This window comes from Homo sapiens, chromosome 5, assembly GCF_000001405.40.
Source record: "Homo sapiens chromosome 5, GRCh38.p14 Primary Assembly".
NCBI classification, from domain to species: domain Eukaryota; kingdom Metazoa; phylum Chordata; class Mammalia; order Primates; family Hominidae; genus Homo; species Homo sapiens.
This window is the reverse complement of record NC_000005.10, coordinates 103676048-103699980: the sequence shown is the minus strand read 5'-3', so window position 1 is coordinate 103699980 and position 23933 is coordinate 103676048. Positions and strand designations below refer to the sequence as shown.

At 37.0% G+C, this 23933-nt stretch overlaps 1 long non-coding RNA gene across 1 annotated transcript in view; it reads right to left on the bottom strand.

The window, feature by feature from the left end:
• The window catches only part of LOC105379107 (uncharacterized), a 339090-nt gene that overhangs the window by 246341 nt on the left and 68816 nt on the right, over positions 1-23933 (bottom strand). Inside the window, exon 2 of the long non-coding RNA XR_001742831.2 lies at positions 21415-21469. This is a non-coding gene — a long non-coding RNA (uncharacterized LOC105379107). The remainder of the gene's footprint in view (positions 1-21414; positions 21470-23933) is intronic.

The following is a 23933-nucleotide window of genomic DNA, read 5'->3' as shown; positions in this document are numbered from 1 at the left end:
ACTGCCTGCCAGAATGATTCAGAAAGAGAAGAAACCTAGAATGGGGATTCATCAGACCCTATAAGGACTGTTAGCCAAATTTAAGGCATAAAACAGCAATGGCCTGAAAAAAAAAACCCGCAAAGACCAAGGACCCAATGAGATGTACAGCTCAACAAATATTAAGCACCAAAGGGTGCTCCAATCTCAATATATTACTCAAGTTATTAAAAGTCCCCTTGAACTTATAATCAACTTCAAAGAAGGGTTGACAATTTGCATTGACAATTATTTCTATTACTCAGTAAAAAGAGGCTTGGAGTAGGTTGTAAAAAGCGAAGTTATAAAGGTAAAGTGAAGTTAAATCACCTCTGATTTCGTGACTGAGATTTATGCCACTACAGAGTATATGGCATGAAAAAATTTCCAATGTCAATTTTAATTATCCTATTCCCTTATACATCTCAGTTTGTCAATATCCACAAAATGACTCCCTGGAAATTTGACTGGGATTGCATGGAATCTACGATCAACTTGAGAAGAAATGACATTCTGACAAGATTGAATCTTCCTATCCATGAACATTGAATATTTCTCTATTTAGTTCTTCTTTGATATCTTTTGTTAGCTTTGTAGTTTTCCACATATAGACTTTGTACATATTTCCTGAGATTTATACCTAAGCATTTAATTTGTTGGGGGAGGGAAGTGCTAAATAATAATGTAGTATGTAAATAGTACTGTCTTTTAAATTTAAGTTACACTTGTTGATTACTGATTTGTAGAAAAGCAATTGACTTTTATACCCAGAATCTGGTCTTAGTGAGTATTCTGCTGGTGTAGGATGAAGTAGTCCATTGATCGCGTTGAGTTTAAATATGTGCTTACTGATTTTCCACCTTGAGTTTTGAAAAGGGTGTTGATGTCTTCTATTATAATAGTGGATTCATCCGTCCCTGTCTCCTTGTAGTTCTATAAGTTTTTGCCTATATTTTAACTCTGATGTTAGGTACACATATATTAAGGATCATTATGTCTTTATGGAGTATTGGCCCCTTTATCATTAAGTAATGTCTGTAATTTCCCTCTATATCCCTGATATCTTTCTTTGCTCTGAAGTCTGCTCTGCTTAAAATTAATATAGCAACTCCCATTTTGTTTAGATTAATGTTGGTATGGCATATCTTTCTCTATCCCTTTAATCGGTATATGCTTTTATATTTAAAGTAAATTTCTTGTAAAAAACATATAATTGAGTCTTATTTTTTATTCACTCTGACAATCTCTGTCTTTTAATTGGTGTATTTACATCATTAATGCTTGAAGTGATTATGGCTAAAATTAGATTAATTTTATCATATGTATCATATGTATCATAATAACACTATTATTGTCTATTTGTTGCCTTTTTTCTTTATTCCTAAATTTGTATTCCACATATTTTCTGTCTCTTGTGATTTAATTGCAATTTTATATGACTTCGTCTTCCTCCCTTTCTTGGCATATCAATTATTTGTATTTTTCTACCATTAACCTGGTCTTGCATGTTGCCTACATTTTCCATTAAAATCCTTAACATATTAATCACAGTTTTGTTTTTTATTTAAATTCCTTGAATCCGTAGTAAATGTATATTGCAAACTCTAGGACAACCCCTAAAAAAGAAAAAAAGAAGTATAATTGATATGCCAAGAAAGGGAAGAAGATGAAGTCATATAAAATTGCAAAAAAAAAAATTTGTTTTTTATTTAAATTCCTGATCTAATAATTTGAACTTTCTTTGTCATATCTGACATGGGTTCTGTTGCTTGTTCAGCCTCTTCAAACTGCATTTTTGCCCTTTAGTATGCCTTGGAATCTTTTGTTGAAAAGTGGACAATGTGTAACAGGGAAATGAAACTTCTATAAATGGGTTTTTAGTAACATGGTAGTAAGGTGCGGAGGAGGGAAGGGAGCATTCTACAATTCAAAGATTAAGTCTCAGTCTTTTATTAAGACTGTGATGTCATGATTCTCAGATATTTTTTCCCTCTTAGGTAGAGAAGATGACTAGAGGGTGCTAGAGTTGGATATTTTTCTTTCTGTAGGGAGATTAGGCTCTGCTAAAACCCCAGTAGGTATTACTGATAAAATAGTTTCTCCTGAAAGCAGATGTGTTAAGAAAAACAGAATGCTCTGTTGTATTTTAAAATGGTTACTTACTACTTTTCCCTACTTCTTTCAAAAGTATGAGGGTATTGTTCTTGAATATCCACCGTGAGAACCTAGTAGAGCCTCTGGAGGTAAAACACACAAATATGTGGGTCCTCCCCTATGACTGGGCACCCCTGGGTTTCAAACTCTCAGATCTGCCCATACTGAGCCTTCAGCAATTTGTCAATTACAGTTCTGATTTTTCTATCCAGGCATTGTTCCCTCTGATATTTCTATTAGTAGGTTCTCCTCAGGTAAGTTTTGATTGTCTGTATCTGCCTGTTTGCCTCTCAGATTTGGGGCACAGCAGTTTTTCCTTGGCACGTCACTTCCCTGATGGATCTAAAAAGAGCTATTGATTTTTAAGTTTTTCAGCTTTTAACTTCTTGGGATGAGGTGGTGGCTTCTAACTTGCTGAACCAGAACTAGAAGTCCTCCAAAAAGAAGTCGTTTGTACGCACAGCATTAAGTAGCTTTTTCTGTTACTATTGCTGCAACCTTGTACTTGTCTTTCTTTGTAGTAAAGTCTGAGGTTATTTGCAGGGACTAGGAATACCATTTTTATGAAAGATGGAGGATTACTGCAGGAAGCCAGAAACCAGATTTTATATTTCATTTGTCCCCAAGAGTCCTAGCATGGTACCAGTTTCTACCACTTACTGTATAATGGAAGCCAAGTTAGTCACCTCTCAGAGCTTCAGTCATTTCTCTTCTAAAGTGAGGGCAATGACTTAGTTCTTGTGAAAATTCAATGAGATTACATATGTACATATATGTATATATAAATTATATGCTGTCAAATTTACTTATATTATAAATGGAAGCTATTTTTGAACCAACAAAGAGGGTTGGATTATCAAATGAGACGCGCGTGAATTAGAAGTCTTCCCCAGAATCAAGAGGCAAAGATGAAGTGGGGGAAGCTCTGGAATTTCCCATATGGCTCCACAAGATCTTCCATTCAGTATTTGACAAACTTTTTGACCCAGAGTAATAGATTAGGTCACAGAGAGTGATGTTTCATCAATCCATAGATGCTATGTTTGCTTACCATAGGCAATCTAAAACAAGGACATCCTACTTTAAGCATTCTATAGATAAAGACTCTCCTGCTAGCAATATCAAGAGGAGAGTTACCAGCATGGTGTTGAAGTGGGTCACCTGCCTTCTTACAGGGAGGGGATACATTATTCTCATGTTCTGGTAACAATTATTGGGAGAAAAGTGGATTGCAAGCCACTTGTTTTAATCCTTTCTATTTTGTACTATCTTGTTCAACCATTATTAAATTTTAAGTGATCTTCAAATATAAGATTCTGGCCATTTGCTCCAAATTAATTCTTCTTTATATCTTGAGACCTTTTCTTTATGCTTTACAAATAGTTCCACATTTTTTCCCTTTTAAAATGCTTAGAAAAATATTTATAACAATGTCTCTCTCTCTCTCTCTCACATACACACACACACACACACACACACAATGATTGCTTTTAATCAGAGCTGCTGATATATGCTAATGTGTTAGTCAATATTCACTCTTCTGTTGTGTCATATATAAAGCTGATTTTTGAGCATAAAAGTGGAAAACTACTGATTTATGAAAGTATACACTTACTACTCACTCAGGATGAAAGAATGAAAGGGGAAAAACACTACAGAGGAACACATGAGAGAGACAAACTCTGAAACTTTGTTTTAAAACCTTAGAAAGAAGTCTGATTTTTAAAAAATCTGCTAAAGTGGAGAGATTTGTTCACTTTACTCAGCTCAAGTCTCTGTTCCCCTTGGTGGTTGAGAGGTTCAAATGGTCCTTTAGTCTTGATGTAATGATGCCAGAGAGGTGTCTGTATTGGAAATGAGTATATTTCCACCCGGTGCTTGTATTGGAAATTAGTGTGTTTCCACCCAAGGACTTTTTAAAGTACCTTTTAAAAAATACTTTTTAAAGTACTTTAAAAAATGTTTTAATGAATTTTCATTAAAGTCTTGTTTGCCCTTGGAACATTCTTTTTAAAATAAAGTGTGCTAATTTCTCCTCCCTAAATGAAGTCACCCAATTATGTAGTTAAGTATGTGTTTTTTAAAAATCCTGGGTACAGAACATTGTTATATATCATCTTTGCTTCTTTTCTGTCCTCAGACACTGAAAACAAAAATGAGATAATTCTCACTGGTTCACAGACATCTTTAGCAACATATAGTCAAATATCATGGCAAAGAAAGTGGTTAGATAACCATAGGGTTCACAAATACAGGCATTCCCCAAACATATTCTAACACAAAAATACAAGCATCAAGAGTAATGGTCCATATCTGGACTATTTTCACACAAAAAATAACTGTGATTTGCCTTTGTGGTTTTGACTTGCTTAGGATGGAAATTAGGGTCAAAATGGTCAATCAACTCTTTGCTATTAAGAAGACAGAATGTCCTAACAAAAATGAGAATTAACCTCAAGTAAAAAATATGCTTACAGAATTATTTTAATGCCTCCAAGTTTGGCATTTATTTTCATCTTCTGTTCTATTTCCCCCATTTCATCTCCTTTCTGCCTCTACTTTATACTATTTATTTCTAGGAACCTGACGATACACTTTAGAATTTTCTTTATTTTTTACAATTGATTCTTTTTTTTTTTTTTTTTTTTTTTTTTTTTTTTTGAGACGGAGTCTCGCTCTGTCGCCCAGGCTGGAGTGCGGTGGCGCGATCTCGGCTCACTGCAAGCTCCGCCTCCCGGGTTCACGCCATTCTCCTGCCTCAGCCTCCCGAGTAGCTGGGACTACAGGCGCCCGCTACCACGCCCGGCTAATTTTTTGTATTTTTAGTAGAGACGGGGTTTCACCTTGTTAGCCAGGATGGTCTCGATCTCCTGACCTCGTGATCCGCCCGCCTCGGCCTCCCAAAGTGCTGGGATTACAGGCGTGAGCCACCGCGCCCGGCCACAATTGATTCTTAAATGCGAGAACCAGGCTGAAGCACATCCTTAACATCTGTACAAATTCTTGCATTCCAGCATGGCTGTGCTTCTTTTGTCTTTAGCAAGGTGCATATTTCTGTATTTTTAGGTTCCAAGACTAGATAGAGAGACAGAAAGATTGGATATGTAACTAGTTACCTGCAAATGCATCCTAAGGTTTCTGTATCAGTCTTAACTATATGTTATATACTAAAGAAAAATGTGTAAGAAATCTTTGTTATGTTATCAAACTATCTTTGACCGCAAGACCAGATATAAATTATAATTTTTTAACATTTATTTAGTTGTATAATTTGAATGACAGTTTAGAAGAATAGAGAATAAAAGCAATAGTGTGGGGATAATAAATTAGAAAACAAAAAGTTTTGTAGAAGAATCTAAAGTAGAAAGGGTAGAAGTACAAAGAAGTAAGAGAAAAATGATTTTCTAGGAAATATGTAACAAATTTAAGAGACTATATATGCTATCATTGCACAGAGCTTTTAAAAACCCGTGTGTTGACGGGATATGTTATCTGGTCCAGCAGTTTTTACTAGATTCTTTTATTCTCTCTAGTATACTAGTTATGTGTCATAATGGAAGATGAAAAAAAATACAGCTTCAATATTAATAGACCAAGTTTTGATTTTTACTTATGTGTTAGTTTACTTTTCCATGTACTGTTTCATTGCAGATCAGGCAAATTTCTTCCTAAATCTAAATTATGGGTCCTCTTAGCTAGTAAATGTGTATTAAATAAATGAATGCATTAAATGTAGCATATATTTAACATATAGTAGGTGATTTAAGTTAGAGACAGGAAGCCTATTTCTATTTTATATGTATGTGCATGTGTATTTTTTCTTTTGAATACCCAACTATTAGTGTTTAGAAATGCAATTATTGTGGTAACGTACTGAAACTATTTTCCAAAAGTGAGTTTTGACAAGAGTTCTGGAAAAGAACAGCTGGTCTTCTTGCTACCTCACAGGTGCAAGGAAGAAGAGGGGACAAAGTTAAGTCAGAGTCAAGGGATCAAGGAAACAGATGTGAGAGACAAAACAGCAGCAAAACATTCATTGGGAGGAAACAAATAGATATGGGAACTAAGAAAGGAAACAGGCAACGAGAGAAAGCAGACAGTAAGAGGGAGGCCCCACTGGGAGACATCTGCAGAAAACATCTGTAGATACTTCTCTATCACCACCAGGAAGGAGGATCCTGCCACAGAGGCAAACAGAAAAAAGGCTTAACTACCTGTGGTATTTGGTTGAAGGACACACATAATGCTCAGTATACCAGCCTCGAATTATTCTATGGCATCCCCAGTTCCACCCTCCCAGTGGAATACATGTCAATGCAGCATTTAGTATTGATTGAAACATACGGAAATTATTTGATTCATCTCTTTCCCTACCACATGCTGCCTTATTTCATCCTCATTTGTCTGAAGAATAAGAAGAAAAAATTTTCTTCCAAGAAGAGATAAGAAATGGCTCTAATCCATTCATCATGTAACTGTTTTGCTTTTCTTCTGTACCTGAGGTTAGAAAAATTCTGCCAACACTGTGCTGTCAGACTGGCATTGAATGCAACAGTAAGTATGACAAAAGTACCAGCAGCTGGAAGGGTACACTGTCTATAGTGCTAGTACTGATGTCTGAGCTGACCACCCGGAAGACTGAATCAGCCATTAGAACATCTGCTGTGAAAAGGATCGCCCTCCCTGCTTTGTCCGCTTGAACATCCTATCTTCCTGTGCTCAACATTATCTCATTTACAGCTCATTCAGGGCTAATGTAGCAGAGAGGAACCATGGAGAAATCAGAGACTGAGTGAGAAATCTTGCAAATGGAAAGAAAATCCTTTATTCTGACAAGTGGAGTTTATAGTTTAGAAAACGAAAAATATGGTGATTTCTGCACACACATTACTACCCCTGGTGGCCTGTTCAACTCATTCAATCTGATTAGTATTGGCCCTCATGGAATGAGGGCATTTTATGGGTCAATCACAGGCATGTCTGTGTGGATGGGCTGCTGTCCAGAGCAGAGTTCCCAGGTCAGTGATGAACCAAATGCCACCAATGGTGCTACTCCCAGAGCTACTGCTTCTGAGAGCTGGTGCTTTTGAAGCATGGCTGGCTGAAAGAAACAAGTGGCCACAGAAAACATAATGGAGCCTCTATGAGGACTGAGAAAAAAATGCACATATACAAGTACCTGATTTTTAGGCTTTTCATTCAATTTCAGAAGTATGCATTATTTTGACAATGACTTGCTGAGCAGTGCTAGGAAGTCACCAAACTTTCTATGGTACTCAGTTTTTCCATTTATAAAGTAAGTTAATAAAAGCAATTTGATATAGAATAGTGTTCCATATAAGCAGGCATCCTTGAAACCATTCACTTTATTTAAGAGATCAAATAGATGAGCTTCCTATTGACCACATCACATGCTATCACAGAAAGTATCTGTGAAGGACAACAATCACATACCTAGGACATTCATAAAACCAAAGTTTAGAGTCAGTTGGCATTTGAGAAGGCTGCTTCTTCTCTTCCCTTGTTCTGGCCCTCAAATTAGGAAGGATCAAGGATGCCAACCCTCCAGACAAGCAAATTAATCTAATTCTTTTAATATAGTCAAGAACAGTCACAAAGGTGAATTTACTGTGACCAAGATTCAAGTCAAGATTTGAGGCCAATAGAAAAGAAAAAACTAAAATACTGCCCCATAAGCAATCCAATCTCTTTCTTCCTCTACTCTAACCACCTTGGGCTCAGCACTTAAGTATCTGAGAAATATAAGAAAGGAGAAAATTTTCTAAAAGGAAGAAGGAAAAGCAAGCCCAACACACAGTTTATGGAACACAAACTTTCACTCTCATTTCCCTTTTTTTCCCCATCCATAATCACAAACGACTTCCCTCGTAAGAACAAAACCATTCATAGTATTTCTTATGAACCTCTCCCCATCCAAACTATCATCTTCTAGCTGGGCGCGGTGGCTCACGCCTGTAATCCCAGCACTTTGGGAGGCCGAGGTGGGTGGATCATTTAAGGTCAGGTTCTTGAGACCAGCCTGGCCAACATGGTGAAACCCTGCCTCTACTAAAAATACAAAAATTAGCCGGGCATGGTGGCAGGTGCCTGTAGTCCCACCTACTTGAGAGGCTGAGGCAGGAGAAGCACTTGAACCTGGGAGGTTGTGGCTGTAGTGAGCCAAGATCGCACCACTGCACTCCAACCTGGGTGACAGAGCAAGACTCTATCTCAAAAAAAATTAAAAAAGAAAAAAAAGCTATCATTTTACCCTCACATAGCTTTTAATGAAATATCATGCAGACACAGTAGATGCTTCATAAATATTCTGAGTGTAAGACTAATGGTTTGAACACAGTGATTACTCTTGGAAATAAATACAATTTTTCAATATTTTAGTGTTATATAATTTGGCAGAAGAACAGATGGAGAGAAGTATAACTCTTGGAATGTACTGAGACATAGCAACTTGAATTTGTATTTGTATTTATTCATGCATGAGACTTTTCTCTCTTCTCCAAAACTTATTATATACTCCTGTACAAATAATTTTAAATAGCTATTTCACTGGTATATAGATTTATGTAACTGATGTAAGTTCTATCACCTTCACAAGACAGTAAATTTCTTTCGAGCAATGACTTGTATTGTCTTATACCTCCAATTCACAATAAATGCTGATTGATCAAGACATACATATTTTAGGGCCAGTCTGTTAAAGTATAATAGTTCACCTCTTGCCATTGCTAGTTTTATACGCCTGTTTTCAGTCTTTTGTTTGTTTGCTTTTGTTAATATGAACCATCTGTGCCTCTCATCCTGTGTTTTTAAATAAGCTGCCTAATTATAGGGTTTAAAATTTTTATATTTTACCCTCAAGCCTGCTGTTGAACACTTTTGTCAAAATTGAATGCCTGCCCTTTAAAAGGTCATTTCTGAGGTTTAAACCTGTTGGTTTTTGTTATTACAGCAAATCTCACCACAGAATGTTTGGTGTCATACAATAACCACCCATTCACTGCTGTGTGCAATGAATACAAAAGTCAAAAGCCTCTATTTCCTCTTAGTGGTGAAGATCAACTTTCAAACATATACACATTTTATGGTTTGCCTTTTCACATTTTTCAAGCAGCTAATAAGACAATGCTCCAAAAAAGTTTACAAAGGCAACCGTTTTTGAGTAACTTTTTGAAAGGCAGTATTATTATATAGGAAGTATGGTAAGACAATGACAAATTTCACTAATACCATCAATAAATTATTTCTCTAGCCACAATTTTCCTTGGCTTCATAGATTTAACAGCTAAATTACCTTTTATTTTTATTTTATACAAGAGAGTTGTGGTTATTCAGTGGAAAGAGAATATATGTTCTTTCTAAAAAGAATTGGAGACTATCTAAAATATAAACATATTACCCAAGAAATGCACATATAAGTACAGGACAACAAAACAAATTTCAGGAATAAAATTAAAAACTTGTAAAAATGAGAAAGGATTTTTAAACCAGGAATAGGAATTAGTTACAACAACTGTGTTTTAAATTTGACCCTAGGCCAGGCGTGGTGGCTCACACTTGTAATCCCAGCACTTTGGGAGGCCAAGGTAGGTAGATCACCTGAGGTCAGGAGTTCAAGATCAGCCTGGCCAACATGGTGAAGCCTTGTCTTTACTAAAAATACAAAAATTAGCCAGGCGTGGTGGCACGTGCCTGTAGTCCCAGCTACTCAGGAGGCTGAGGCAGGAGGTTCACTTGAACCCGGGAGATGGAGGTTGCAGTGAGCTGAGATCACACCACTGTACTCTAGCCTGGGCGACAGGGTGAAACTCCATCTCAAAAAAATAAAAACAAATAAATAAACAAATTTGACCCTAGGCTTCTAGGTAGCCAGTGCTAGAAGGAGGTGGCTGTTGGGTTGGGGAAACTATTGTGCTTGCCAATTCTCGTTTAGTCTTTTAAGAGGCACACACCACCATCTTTTCCTTGATATCTGCAGAATTTACAGAGTTCCTAAAAATAAATACTGGAATTGCTTTTTGGTGTTGAAAACCATGGCTAAATAGGAAGTACTGCTTTATCATGGAGAAATGAAGGAAGAAATTCAGTAGTCCTGAAAATGATTTACTGCACCAATAAAGTCTCTACTTTGGGGAACTAGTAGTAAGAGTAATACTGATAATGTTAAACATAACAAATGACTAGTATATTGGTCCTCATACTGTAAGAATGTTAAATACATCATTATGGACACTTGAAAGACAACCAGCTCAAGATAAGAGACAGGTATTTCAGTCACTATTACTTTTTTTTTAGTATATAGTCTAAAAAGTGCAACTAAAAAAATAACTCTATTTATTTTATTTTGATGTCTTAGAAATTATAAACATAAAAATATTCCTTTATCTTTAAATTAGTTACCTTTGAAGGTTTAAAATGTAGACAATTGTCCAAATACTATTAGAACATAAATAATAGGAATTGGCATTAGAACAAGTTTACAAGAACATAGGCCTTAAGTTTTAACAAATGCCTTGCATCCCATGGTCATATTTTTTGTTTTTATTAAAGGGATGTAATGGTCACAGTATGAACTTGGAAGGCAGTCAATCCTGGGTTTGAAACCTAAGTTTAGTACACATTGTCTAACCCAGGGCGCATTATTACTTAACAGCTTGGTACCTCTGTTTCATAGCCTGCAAAACAGGGTAACAACACAGACCTTGAAGACTTTTGTAAATGTAAAATTATGTGTGAAGCACCTCTTAAAGACTCTTACACACAGTTGCCATTTAAGAAGCCTCATTTTTCTATAAACAATCCTTCTACAATTACATAAAATGTAACAGCAGAAGTACTTCTACTGAGTTACATTCTGGAGATTATTTTACTAATATTACCAGTGATAAAGGCAATACTAGCAGCAAGGAGAGCTTTCGTTTTTTGTTACCACTATCAGTGGAATTCCATTTTATTTTACAATTCCCTTGTTTATCCTCTATCTCACTTTTAGCTTCCTCCACTTAACCATCATTTCTACCTTTTTGCCATAACACAATTATTGAAGAACAGGAGATGAAAAGAAAACAAAAGCGTGTACTCCTACAAGAAAATCCAGCTGCCAATAAACCAACTATTTTCAGCAAATCAACATTTTTGAAGTTGTTACATTCTCCAAAATTAACCTTTTAGCTTTTTTATTTATATTGCCAAATAACTCCCCAATAAACATTCTAATCATAACCTTTGCCTTCCAAGACTTGGTAAGAGTTAGAAATAAAGGGGGTGGAAGGAATATTTGTATACACTTTGTTTGGTTTTAAAAATTGCTTTTCTACCTTGATACATCAAAGAAGTGTCATGAATTTATCCTGCTTTATTCAACAAAATCATGCAGCTCCCATTCTAAAAATGTCTAATTAAAAAAATTTTGTTATTAAGATGCTTGCAGAGAAAAGGCTATTCTGTGAATAACATATAATGTTAACATGTGATAATGGTGTCTGTCAAGGGTTCTCAAGGATACATTTTATTTTAGAGTTATTTAAATATTTAAAACATAAATTGATATATAAACTTGTTATATTAATAAATATAAATATAAACCAAAACTGTGAATTAAATATGATCAGAGCTATAAATCAACATATGAAAATTAACATTAATTTGTAACATCTATGATGCTTTGCTTTAGCCAAATTACCAGATTCAACATATATATGTTACCAGCTGGTAGAACATTTTCTCTTAAGTTCAGTATAGCTATACAACTGCTTTCTATAATGATTTAATTTTTTCCACTACTTTACAAAATGCTTATTAGACATATAAAGGGATAATTGGTAGGTAAATATAGTCTGCATATTTGTCTCTCCAAATCTCATGTTGAAATGTGATTGCCAGTGTTAGAGGCAGGGCCTACTGGGAGGTATTTGGGTCATGGGGGCAGATCCCTCATGAAAGACTTGGTGCCATGGTAATGAGTGAGTTCTGCTCTGTTTGTTTTCTAGAGCGTTGGTTGTTGGAAAGAGTCTGGCACCTCCCTGTCTTCTCCTTCCATCCCTCTCTCCCCACATGGTGCCTGCTCCCCATTGCCATGAGGGTATATATTCTGCCATGAGTGTATGCTTCCTGAGGCCCACACCAGATGCAGATGTTGGTACCATCCTTCTTGTACGGCCTTCAGAACTGTAAGCCACATAAACCTCTTTTCTTTATAAAATTTCTGGTCTCAAGCATTCCTTTATTGCAACACAAATGGACTAAGACAGTAGGCAATTGGACAGAGGAGTCTGGGTTCAGGGAAGCGGTTTAAGCTAGAGTTATCAAGATTATAGTTGCATGAAATTTTGTGATATTGCATGTGATCATGGTAGAAATGAGTGTAATGACAGAAATTGTGATAAAATAATTCTCCAAATCCACCAAAAGAAAAAAATACCTCGGTATGACTGGATCCCACGTTTTTATTCATCACTTATTTATGAGCTTATCTGTGTCTTTAGTTCAGATCAGTGGGTTTTAAACTCTATGAAGAGGGAAGAGAGTCTACAGAGTTGTCTCAGTGGGTAACAATGGGGAATGAAGAGGATGAGAGGAAATTGTGAAAGACACTTTAGCTCCCACCATTTCTTAAAGTATACAGGATTCTATTTGCTTTATAATATTAGAAAGCTAAAAAATACTTCATGTCAATAGTAGATTCTGGGCTCACCATGGTGGCTCACACCTGTAATTCCAGTGCTTTGGAAGGCCAAGGCAAGAGGATTGTTTGAAGCCAGGAGTTCAAGACCACCCTAGGCAACATAGCAAGACTCTGCCTTCATAAAAATAAATAGCCTAGTGCAGTGGCATCCACCTGTAGTCCAAGTTACTCGGGAGGCTGAGGCAGGAGGATCACTTGAGCCCTGGAGGTTGAGGTTGCAGTGAGACATGACAGCGTCACTCCATTCTAGCCTGGGCAATAGAGTGAGACCATGTCTCAACAAAAAAAAAAAAAAAAAAAAAAATGTAGGCCGGGCACAGTGGCTCACGCCTGTAATCCCAGCACTTTGGGAGGCCGAGGTGGGCCAATCATGAGGTCAGGAGATCGAGACCATCCTGGCTAACATGGTGAAACCCCATCTCTACTAAACATACAAAAAATTAGCCAGGCGTGGTGGTGGGCTCCTGTAGTCCCAGCTACTTGGGAGGCTGAGGCAGGAGAATGGCGTGAACCTGTGAGGTAGAGCTTGCAGTGAGCGAAGATCGCTCCACTGCACTCCAGCCTGGGTGACAGAGCAAGACTCCATGTCAAAAAAAAAAAAAAAATATATATATATATATATAGTTGTCTAGTTCAAGAAATAGAAACATACTTCAATTATCTTATGTAATGGGTCATGTACCCTAAGGATATATGGCTACAGAAACCCAAGACACTCTGGTGTCCAGAAAGGCAAAATCCTTGTAACGTGGCAGAATCTTTACACCACTGTTCTGGCATTACCTAATTTGGTTACTCGCCAATTACATGTTTTGTTATTCCTGTTCATACAGCTAGAGACAGATCTGCAATCCTTTCTCCTCTTTGTAACTTCTGCTTAGGCAGAGTTCTGCTTCCTCGGAACTTTGGCTTCTAGTCATAACTCAGGGTTCTACCTCTATCCCATGAGATCATTCAGCTTTACCCTCTTACCCTTATTAATCACTAATTACATCCCCGTTTTCAAATTCAAATTCCCAACAGAGAATATGATAGACCTAGAATACCTTTCCACACCAGGCTTTGCTTATGCTACCAGTACCTTCCTAGGGTCAATCAGCTAAATCAAGGGGGCTAGAACTTCATCATCTGCACAGGTTGGATTCTTCAACAATGGCTGTGGATAGGGAAGATTGACCTGAGAAGGGTCATAATTTGTTAGGCACCAGGGTTGACGTCTATAACATAACAATAAATACAATTTATTCAACATATACCTTTGATGAGAATAAAAATAAAAGTCTGGGTTTTAAATAATTTACCAAAGGACAAGGATTATCATGGCATAGCATCAGAGAATAGCTATGACAGTAACTACTTGCAAAATGTGTTAATTTAGTCCAAATAATACCTGATCTCAGTGATGTTCATGTGTGTCATGCTGAACTATAATTTAAGAAGCAATTTATAAAAATCAATACAGTATATGGATAACTTCTTAATGAGTTCTGACATATTTTCTACTTCAACTGGAGGAGATTTAAGTACTTCATATTACAGCCATATGGGATCACTAGGTCATATTCAAATAACCAGAGAAATCACAGCTGCCAAAATAATAAAATTGATACACTGTAGGAATTTCACAAAAACATTTCATATTCATTCTTTTCATAAGAGCGGTTGAGGACAAAGAAGAATAAATCAACCTTTTAGCTATGGTAAAAATTTAATTTATTTTTTTTATTTATTTGTTTGTTTTTGAGATGGAGTCTCACTCTGTCACTCAGGCTGGAGTGCAGTGGTGCGATCTCAGCTCACTGCAACCTCTGCCTCCCGGGTTCAAGCGATGCCCCTGCCTCAGCATGCCGAGTAGCTGGGATTACAGGTGCCCACCACCACACCTGGCTAATTTTTGTATTTTTAGTAGAGACAGGGTTTTACCATGTTGGCCAGGCTGGTCGCGAACTCCTGACCTCAAGCAATTTGCCTGCCTTGTCCTCCCAAATTGCTGGGATTACAGGAGAGCCACCGCACCCAGGAAAAATTTAATTTTTAACCAATATAAATGCTCTGATTTAAAATTGCTAGCTGAGGAATCGAATGTGGGAGCTTTCAAATTAAATTTAATAAACACAAAAATTCCCATTCCTACCCTACTGCTTCCAGGACTTCTAAAAATTTCCTCGTCCTGCACATGGCAAAAAGTAACTTCAGATGATGATTAAAATTTTAAAATAATTCAACCTCAAAATAAATCAACTTGGGTCAGTGTTTCCTTAAAGATTCTATTTTGCATGAATGGTCATTAAACACCTAGAATATAAAGTGGAGAGCATCAAAATCCCTACATGATAAAAAGTCTTTTCAAGCAGGTGGGAACTCCACATTTAATGAAGACCAGATTATTTCAATTCATTGTGAACACCAAGGCTCAGTGTTTGAAGCATTTTGATTTCATTCTCCTTCCCTAAGCAGTTAAGTCATATTTGTTAGTCATTGAATTCTGTGTACACATTCAATAAGAAACTTCTATCCTACTTAACATATATTTGTTCCATTCACATAGAAGACTGATCTATAGAATTTGGCATAATTAGCCAAGAGCCTGAAAAGAGATACAAGCAAATCAAAAGGAAAATTCAGAATGCCTTTGTCATGTGCGTGCAGGACCCATATCCTAGAGAAAGTGTAAGTTGTCTTCGATAAATGATACCATGCTGGCATGAGTTGTTACTACTATTTTTTTTACCACTGCACTGAATAACAGGAATATCACTATATCCATTTCATTACACTTTTATAGGCTTAAAGTATTTTTAACTGTGCAAAGAAATATAGTGTGATGACACAGTCCCATCTATGAGGACAAGTTATACACCTATTTTTATGTTTGTGGTCCATTTTAAAAATCTATATTTGGGGATAAATAAAAGGAAGCACTACATTATTTGCTTATTACAGAACATACGGAACTTCTTATCCCAAAAATGTTATTCGAGTTGGAATTATGAAAAGTTTAAGGGCTTAGATGACTTCACAAATTGACCCCATTACAAGTTATTTAAAAGATAATATTCCTAATCTTGAATCATTACAAAGATAATATCATCAGCTATCTCCCCAAACTGTACATTTGTCATCTATTGTCATTAACCAAAAGGAATCATTGTATCTTAGTTGAAAAGAATGGTAACGATTTTCATTCTCAACTTTTATATGCTACTGATAGGAAAAATATATAATTTTCAGAAGGTTATATAATTTTACCAGTGTCAAAAAAATCACCAGAGCAGCATAGGAATTTTTTTATATTCACGTAAATTGAATTTAAAATCTAGATGGACTATGTCGCTAAATCAGCAAGCATGTTTCAAAACAAAATGGAAATAAAATTCATAGATCTCAGCAGAGGAAATGGTCTTCTGAAAGGCAAATAACAAACTTAAATGGTGGTTTAAAAAATATGCTCCATATTATTTCTGTTTTAAACTTTATATCTCAGTTGCTTTACAATGCTTTAAATTAAAACAAATGGGAAGATAAATATTCTTCCATATTCAGGCAAAGTAGTCTTTCTGTTGTTATCCAACAACAGCCTTAAGAAATCATTAGTCCTACTACCTATGTAGTATAATGGAGAAGAGGTAAACACTAGTTACATAACATAAAATTAGACAAGAAAGCATTCTATTTGTAAATTCTCCACAGAAAATACAAACTAGATGCATGTAAATGGAACCCAGTCTTCAACCTTGATTGTTGGCCCACCTGAATTTTCTTTTTATAAATTGAATTATAAACATTCAAAAATTCAGAGACTCCACAGAAAAATCCAGATTTTCAGATCTGCTAAAAAATACAATACCAGCATAGAATTTTCCAATGGTAGCAATTTTTAGGAGCTGAGTATTTGTCCCTTTAGGTAGATTATACCCTCCTCAGGTACTCCGTAAGCCCCACCACACCTTATTGTTCAAACACATTAACTGCCTAGACCTATATTCCTATGGGGTTTTAAGTTTATTTGGCAATCAATACCTAATTACTACACATAGCAGGCCAATTAGTTCAACTCCCTAGAGACATATATTATAGTAAACAATATTTCAGCAGCAAATAAAATAACTCAACTAGGATTAATTTAAACAATATAGATATTTATTATTTTGTATGTCAAAAAGTTCTAAACTCAATTCTTAGGTTGACCCATTCAGCAGCTAAATGATATCTCAGGCACCCAGAATCTCAGCTTTCTGCTCTGCCATCCTGCGAGTATTGCCTTGGTTCCCCTGGCTACCTTCTTCCGTCATCTGAATTGAACAGCATGGTTCCTGGCATCACAACTGCCAACAAAGTCCAGTGTGATAAAAGGAAGGGTCTCCTCTTTTGTATCATCTTTCATCATTGAGTAAATATTTCCCAAAATGTCCCCAGAAGAATTTCCCTCACTTCTCACTTTCACCTCCTATGGCTGAAATGGAAGACCAACCTCCCCTGAAGCACATGGCTATTGTATTAGTCAGGGTTCTCCAGAGAAACAGAACTGATAGGATGCGTGTATAGACATACATAGAAAGATATTTATTTTAAGGAATTGGCTTATGAGGTTTTGGAGGCTGGCAAGTCCAAAATCTGCAGGGTGGGCTGGCAGGCTGGAGACCCAACAAGAGCTGATGCTGCAGTTCAAGGTCTAAAGCCATCTGCTGGCAGAATTTCCTCTCACTGACAGGAGGTCAGTCTTTTGTTCTATTCATGCATTCAACAGATTGGATGAGACTCACCCATATTATGGGGGCAATCTGCTTTACTCAAATTCTAATGATTGAAATATTAATCTCATCCAAAAACATTCTCACAGAAACATCCAGAATAATGCTTGGCCACATTTCTGGACACCATGGCCCAGCCATGTTGACATCTAAAATTAACCACTACACTACACAAGACTGCAACAAACATAGAAGAAATTATGGGGATAGAGGAGTGGCTACAGAAGGCCAACGTGATTTATCCTAAAAGACACATCCATTGGTTTTACTGTTTAAATTTGAAGGCTCAATGAGAATACTCAAGTGGAAAGAAAATGCTACCTTCTTAAATAAAGCTCAGATAAATCAAAGTTGACACTGACATAAGGCTCCTGATGAAGAGGTGATTTAGGCCATCTGCCCAACTTGGGAAGCTAAAGTGTCTTCAAAAACAACTCTTTGAATCTTCTGTTATAATATGGAGGTTGATTCATTGCCCATTTCATAAAATCATTCTTCAAGCACAACGAAAATTAAGTGACAGTGCATTTCATCATTTGCTAGCACCACCAGGAAATTTAGATTCAGTTTTATTCAGTAATCGCATTCACTCTAGTTGCTGTATTACCCTGCAAAGAGCATTTGAGAGGCAGCATAGCATAGTAGTTAAGAGTACAGATTCTGAAACCAAATCGCTGGGAATTTGATTCCAGTATGCACTTAACAAATGTGTAAGCTTGAGAAAGTTATTTGCCCTCTCTGTGCTCCCATTTTCTCGTAAAAATGTTGTGTATTAATGTAAATAAGTGAACACGGAGGCGTTTAGAACAGAGCCTGACACTTCTGTATAAAATGTGTTTCATATCATCTCCCTTATAAAATTTTTACTTTGTAAATTGGGCTATGCTTATTATTTAAAGCAGAATCACAGTCTTTTAAAAGGGGAAGGGAAAACATTAACTAGTCTCTCTAGAGACTGAACACTCATTTTTCTTTGGGTGTAGAGAGAAGAGAGCTGTCTCAAGACGAAAAGGGGAGTATACACAGGAAAGTGAAGTAACTGCCTTCAGAGAGCAAAGGGAGCAAGTTTTTAAGAGGAGAAGAAGCTGCAGGCAATTGATGTGGGAGATAAAACAATCTTTTGGTTCCAAAGATGAATTAAAAATAAAGAAAGGTTTTAGCACCCAGCCGGGCACGGTGGCTCACGCCTGTAATCCCAGCACTTTGGGAGACTGAGGTGGGCAGATCACGAGGTCAGGAGATCAAGACCATCCTGGCTAACACAATGAAACCCCGTCTCTACTAAAAACACAAAAAATTAGCCAGGTGCGGTGGCGGGTGCCTGTAGTCCCAGCTACTTGGGAGGCTGAGGCAGGAGAATGGCGTGAACCCGGGAGGCAGAGCTTGCAGTGAGCCGAGATCGCGCCACTGCAACTCCCGCCTGGGTGACAGAGTGAGACTCCGTCTCAAAAAAAAAAAAATCATAAGACTAAAGCACAAGAATAATTAGTATCTTTCAAGTCACCTATAATTTTTCTGTCAACTCCTTTCAGTAGTTTTTGTTTCCTGGTGAATCATAATTTCATGTAACAAGAAAATGAGAAAAATTTAAAGATATACCTTCATCCTGTATTTTTCTCACCTTTCTAAAAAAAATTAATGCACTAATTCTTTTCTGCTGTTAACTTTACTTACTCATAGAATTAAATTATACTCCTTGACGTTCAGTGTAAGTGAGAGCTGTGTTTGATCATGGTGATTACAATCTTCTCTGTGGAGATTAAATTATTCAGTTGTACGGGTTGTTTAGCCTCGTTTTACACCAAGGGAGACTGAGGAAGATTAAAATTTGTTCGTTTTTGGTAAATGAGTTTCTTAATAGTCAACAACCTAGTTCCTGAGGCCACATCTTCCCCATGTGACATAAGCACTCTAATTTATAATAGGGTAAGCTGGTCCCACCCTCAGTAGTATGCAGGGAATGTTTTTTAGAGTGTCCCTGTAATTTTAAGAGGGAAGAGTTATGTGGATGATAAATCTAGATCTCTTTTAAAGAGGAAAAAGGACATTGCAATGCTGCCTCAGAGGACCACGGACAGTGTGGGGAAGGAGGGATGGTCTGCAATAGACCCAGACATGCCTGCTTGGGAAAGTTAATCTCGCTGCCTGCACTTCACATGGGACTGTCAGCAGATTGCTTTCTGTACATTATAACTCTCATATTCAGGAAGAAGGGAATTGGCCAAACCAGTAATATAAATGCATTGTATGCTCTACCCTCCCTCTTTATGATTAATTCTACCCGTGGTACAAATTTGCATGAATGAATGTCAGTGTGTTTTCTGCCCTGAACATTTCCTGCTGGCTTCAGTTCAGCCCTGCTGACATTTATTACAAATAATAGCTAAATATTCCTGATTTAATAGCTGCAGTGGTCCCACATCTGAAGGTGATGTCTGTAATAAAAGCAGACAAGACGAACTTATAACAAATACTAATCAGATTGTGTTTGCACACATAATGGATAAGCCTCACAGATATACCCACAAAATGTAATGTTTGTTTTTTAAATGCAGCTACTTGAAGTCACAGTTCAAGAACACATTGGTTGCTTTATTTCCTTTTCATTTCTCTTCTTTCTTCATCTCCTTAATGTACTCAAGGCCTCTGCACAGGATCAAGATAGAATATTATCCCCTTTTTTATCTGGAAAAATGGGACACTAAACACAGAAGACTGGCTGTGTCCTTTTATTCATCTTTTGTTGCTCCTTCTAAACAAAGGGCATTGTCCCCTGATAAATTCCATTTGCTGCCTCTTATTCAAAGGTAGTTTACACACCAGCTACAGCGATTCTCACACAATGCAGTTACTGGCAAAGATACAAATAACTTTCAAAGTTCTTTAAACCTGTTGACCCAGGTGTCCCTTCTGAAAGATATAAACTAGCCTCCCACACCTCTTACAATTGATAAAGGAGACTATAAAACCTGAGATTACAAAAAGATGGCACACAGTGCCTACTAAACGCAGGTTTTTAAAGCCTTTGGGAATAAAAGGTTCTTTTCCCTTCATCCTGCCCAAACTTCACAAGCCTCCATATAAAAATTGAAGAAGGTCAAATTAGCATTGTCTTTACCGTGACATTTAAACACTTAGGAATTTTAATTACTTGTCATTAATTGTGAATAGCGTTATGAAAATACAACTCTTAATATGTTTCCATTTTTTTTTTCGGAGTAGACTGTGCAGAAAATTGTAATTAGAGGTGATTATAGACACTGAATATTTTTAAAAAAGTATTCCATTGAAACTATTTGGTTGGCAGACATTCCCTGAGGTGCATAAACTATTTGACACTTGACAGCAAAAGTCTTAATCACAAATTGTGTTAAAATCTTTCATAGTATGAACCAAAAAAAAAAAAAACAACAAAAAAAAAACAAACAAAAAAAAAACGTAACTTGAAGTGTAAGCATCATGGACTAAGGCAGGGGCTAGGACTAGACTACTTTTCTGGATGCCCAACATCATGTCCTGCTCACAAACCCACCTTAGGAGTCCCCAACTCGTAGCTTCTAACTTGTACTCTCCTCTCATCCTCCTCTGATCAGCCCAACAGGCCATAAAGGCAGTGAATAGGAGTCTTAGGGCCACTGGGGCTTCTTCTCAAACTCTGCCTTTGCACTTCTACCACTAATACCTGAGCACCTGAGTATCCAACAATGGTTCCTTGTGAATCAAAATAACAGAAAGATTCAACATAAATTCCATTATTTTGATATTGAGAAAGAAATTTAAACTACCTACCTTATCACCTGGCTTGGCATAGTCTCTGAATCAGATTTTGTTTATTCATTGTGACCTTCAAAGGAAGTAGAAAATTAGGTATTATGTATTCGTATTGACCAGGAATTTCCACATGAATCATAGATTTAAAAAACGTTCGACCTAGGAAAAAATTACAGAGATTATTGTCCTTCTACAGATGAAGACACTGAAGCCCAGGAATTTGAAGTGACTTGCCAAAAGTCACATCATGAACTGGGTCATAGTTTTTACTGTACTCCCTGTCTTAAGCCCTGGAAAAGTGCTTCCTCCATCATACTATTCCCCATTCAGCTCATCTTACTTGTTCTCTTCTGGTTCATGAGAACAAATCATTGTTCCTTGCTTCCTCTGTCCTGAGCTGCAAAGCTTAATCAATGGGTTTTCTGGATTCTCAATCTATTAGATGCATTTGGCAAAACATATGGCCCATGTATTGTTTTGTCTATGTGTTAACGTGGTTTGGGATAAACTTGATGGTGCCATTGGTTTTTAGTATATCCTTTTTCCCTATGAATAAGAAACCTTACTCAGAATGAAAAAAAGAATGACTTTATGTACGTTTCTTCATTGCTAACTTGGACCTTTCCATGGCTAATCATTAGTAGTCAGGCATTTTGGTTGCTAAACTTTGTATCCTTGCACTATTTTTCTCCCACTTTCATCTCTAACAATTCTGCTCCTTCCAGGGATCCAGTTCATATGTTTAGTACATTGTGTTCAGATTTCCCTGTCTTCCACCACTGGCTTTCACAGATATTCAACTTCACCTAAATGTTTAGTATGGTTCTAGGTGCATCTTATATAAATCTGTTTTAGCATCTGTACCCTTCCTATGCCCTGGGCTGGAAATATCATTTCCCTAGACTATTTCTGTTTTATTCAGATATTGTGTCTTCTTTGAACCTTTTCCTAAATACCAAGCCATGTGAGCTTTCTTCCTACTCTAAACACTTAATGGTCTTCTTGTCACTTACGTTTCCATAGCATTTATATAGTGGCCTCCCTGTATTGCAGTTATGTACACCAGGTGCTCTAGACCATGTATTTTATAATTCATCTTTATACTGCACACCACACAGAACAGGGCCTAACTCTTCACTGGAAAAAATAATTATAGAGATAGATAGATAATTAATATTTATTACCCAGAAGCCATATATTTTAACCCTTCTCAAAAATATTTATTGTATCATAAAACAATACATATTTGCAGCTCCATGTTAACTAAAAAGAAGCATAAAGTACTTCAATGTCCTAAGAGCTGTATGAAAACCGAATGGAAAGCACAATTAATTTTATACTCCAGCATACATTCTACCTAGCAGAAGTGGTGTGCCTAAAACCAGAAGGCTAAATGAGGGAAGCAGGAATCATAGGCAGGCAACCTAAGGACTGATCTAGCCAAGGAGCACATGTAGTTGTGGTTTATATCACCAAGAAGCAATGGCATGGTAGACAGTCATCTAGAGGTACTGCTTTTGTCGAATACACACATCAGACTCAGCTAGAAGGCCAACACACTATCCATTGCACCACAGAGCTGGCATAGAGGTGCTTTCTGATCTGAGGTACCCTCAGCTGAGAGTGGACCAAAATGGGAACCAAGCCCCCACTCTCCCTCCAGTCACTAGCTAGATGGTTCCAAAGAAGCCAGGAGGGCAAGTAGTAAGGAAGGACAAGCATTCAGCTGCTTCAAAATCTAGTATCTATAAGCAAGGTCAAAATTCTAGAAAAATTCTAAGGAGCTGAGATTATGCCAGCAAAAGAATCCAAAAACTCACACCGCAACAATATCTAAAGTCTAGGTTATAAAAACCCTGCACCCTTGCAACAGAACAAATTTCAATAGGCAAATGACAAAGAGAAAAGAATATTGCTGTTAGACAAAATGAAAAGTTGTACAACCAGGGCTCAGAAGCAAGTTGTGTTGGGCATGGAGTCTGTCTTCATTCTCAGTATTTTCCTTAGTTGTGCATGATAGAAAGGCAGGTGCTATAGAAGACACATTAACTCTTAGGCCCTCTGTAGAATCAGTTATTACCGTCATATTTAGCCAAGAAACTACTGACTTGGGCCGTAAAAAATGCACAGGACTTTTTAAGAGGCGACTCACCTTACTATAAAGGAGTCATCCAAGCCCATGCGTCTCAAACTTTAGTGTGCTTGTGAATCCCCTGGAGACATGATTACATTGCTGATTCTGATTCAGAAGACTGGCTGTGTCCTTTTATTCATCTTTTGTTGCTCCTTCTAAACAAAGGGCATTGTCCCCTGATAAATTCCATTTGCTGCCTCTTATTCAAAGGTAGTTTACACACCAGCTACAGCGATTCTCACACAATGCAGTTACTGGCAAAGATACAAATAACTTTCAAAGTTCTTTAAACCTGTTGACCCAGGTGTCCCTTCTGAAAGATATAAACTAGCCTCCCACACCTCTTACAATTGATAAAGGAGACTATAAAACCTGAGATTACAAAAAGATGGCACACAGAGCT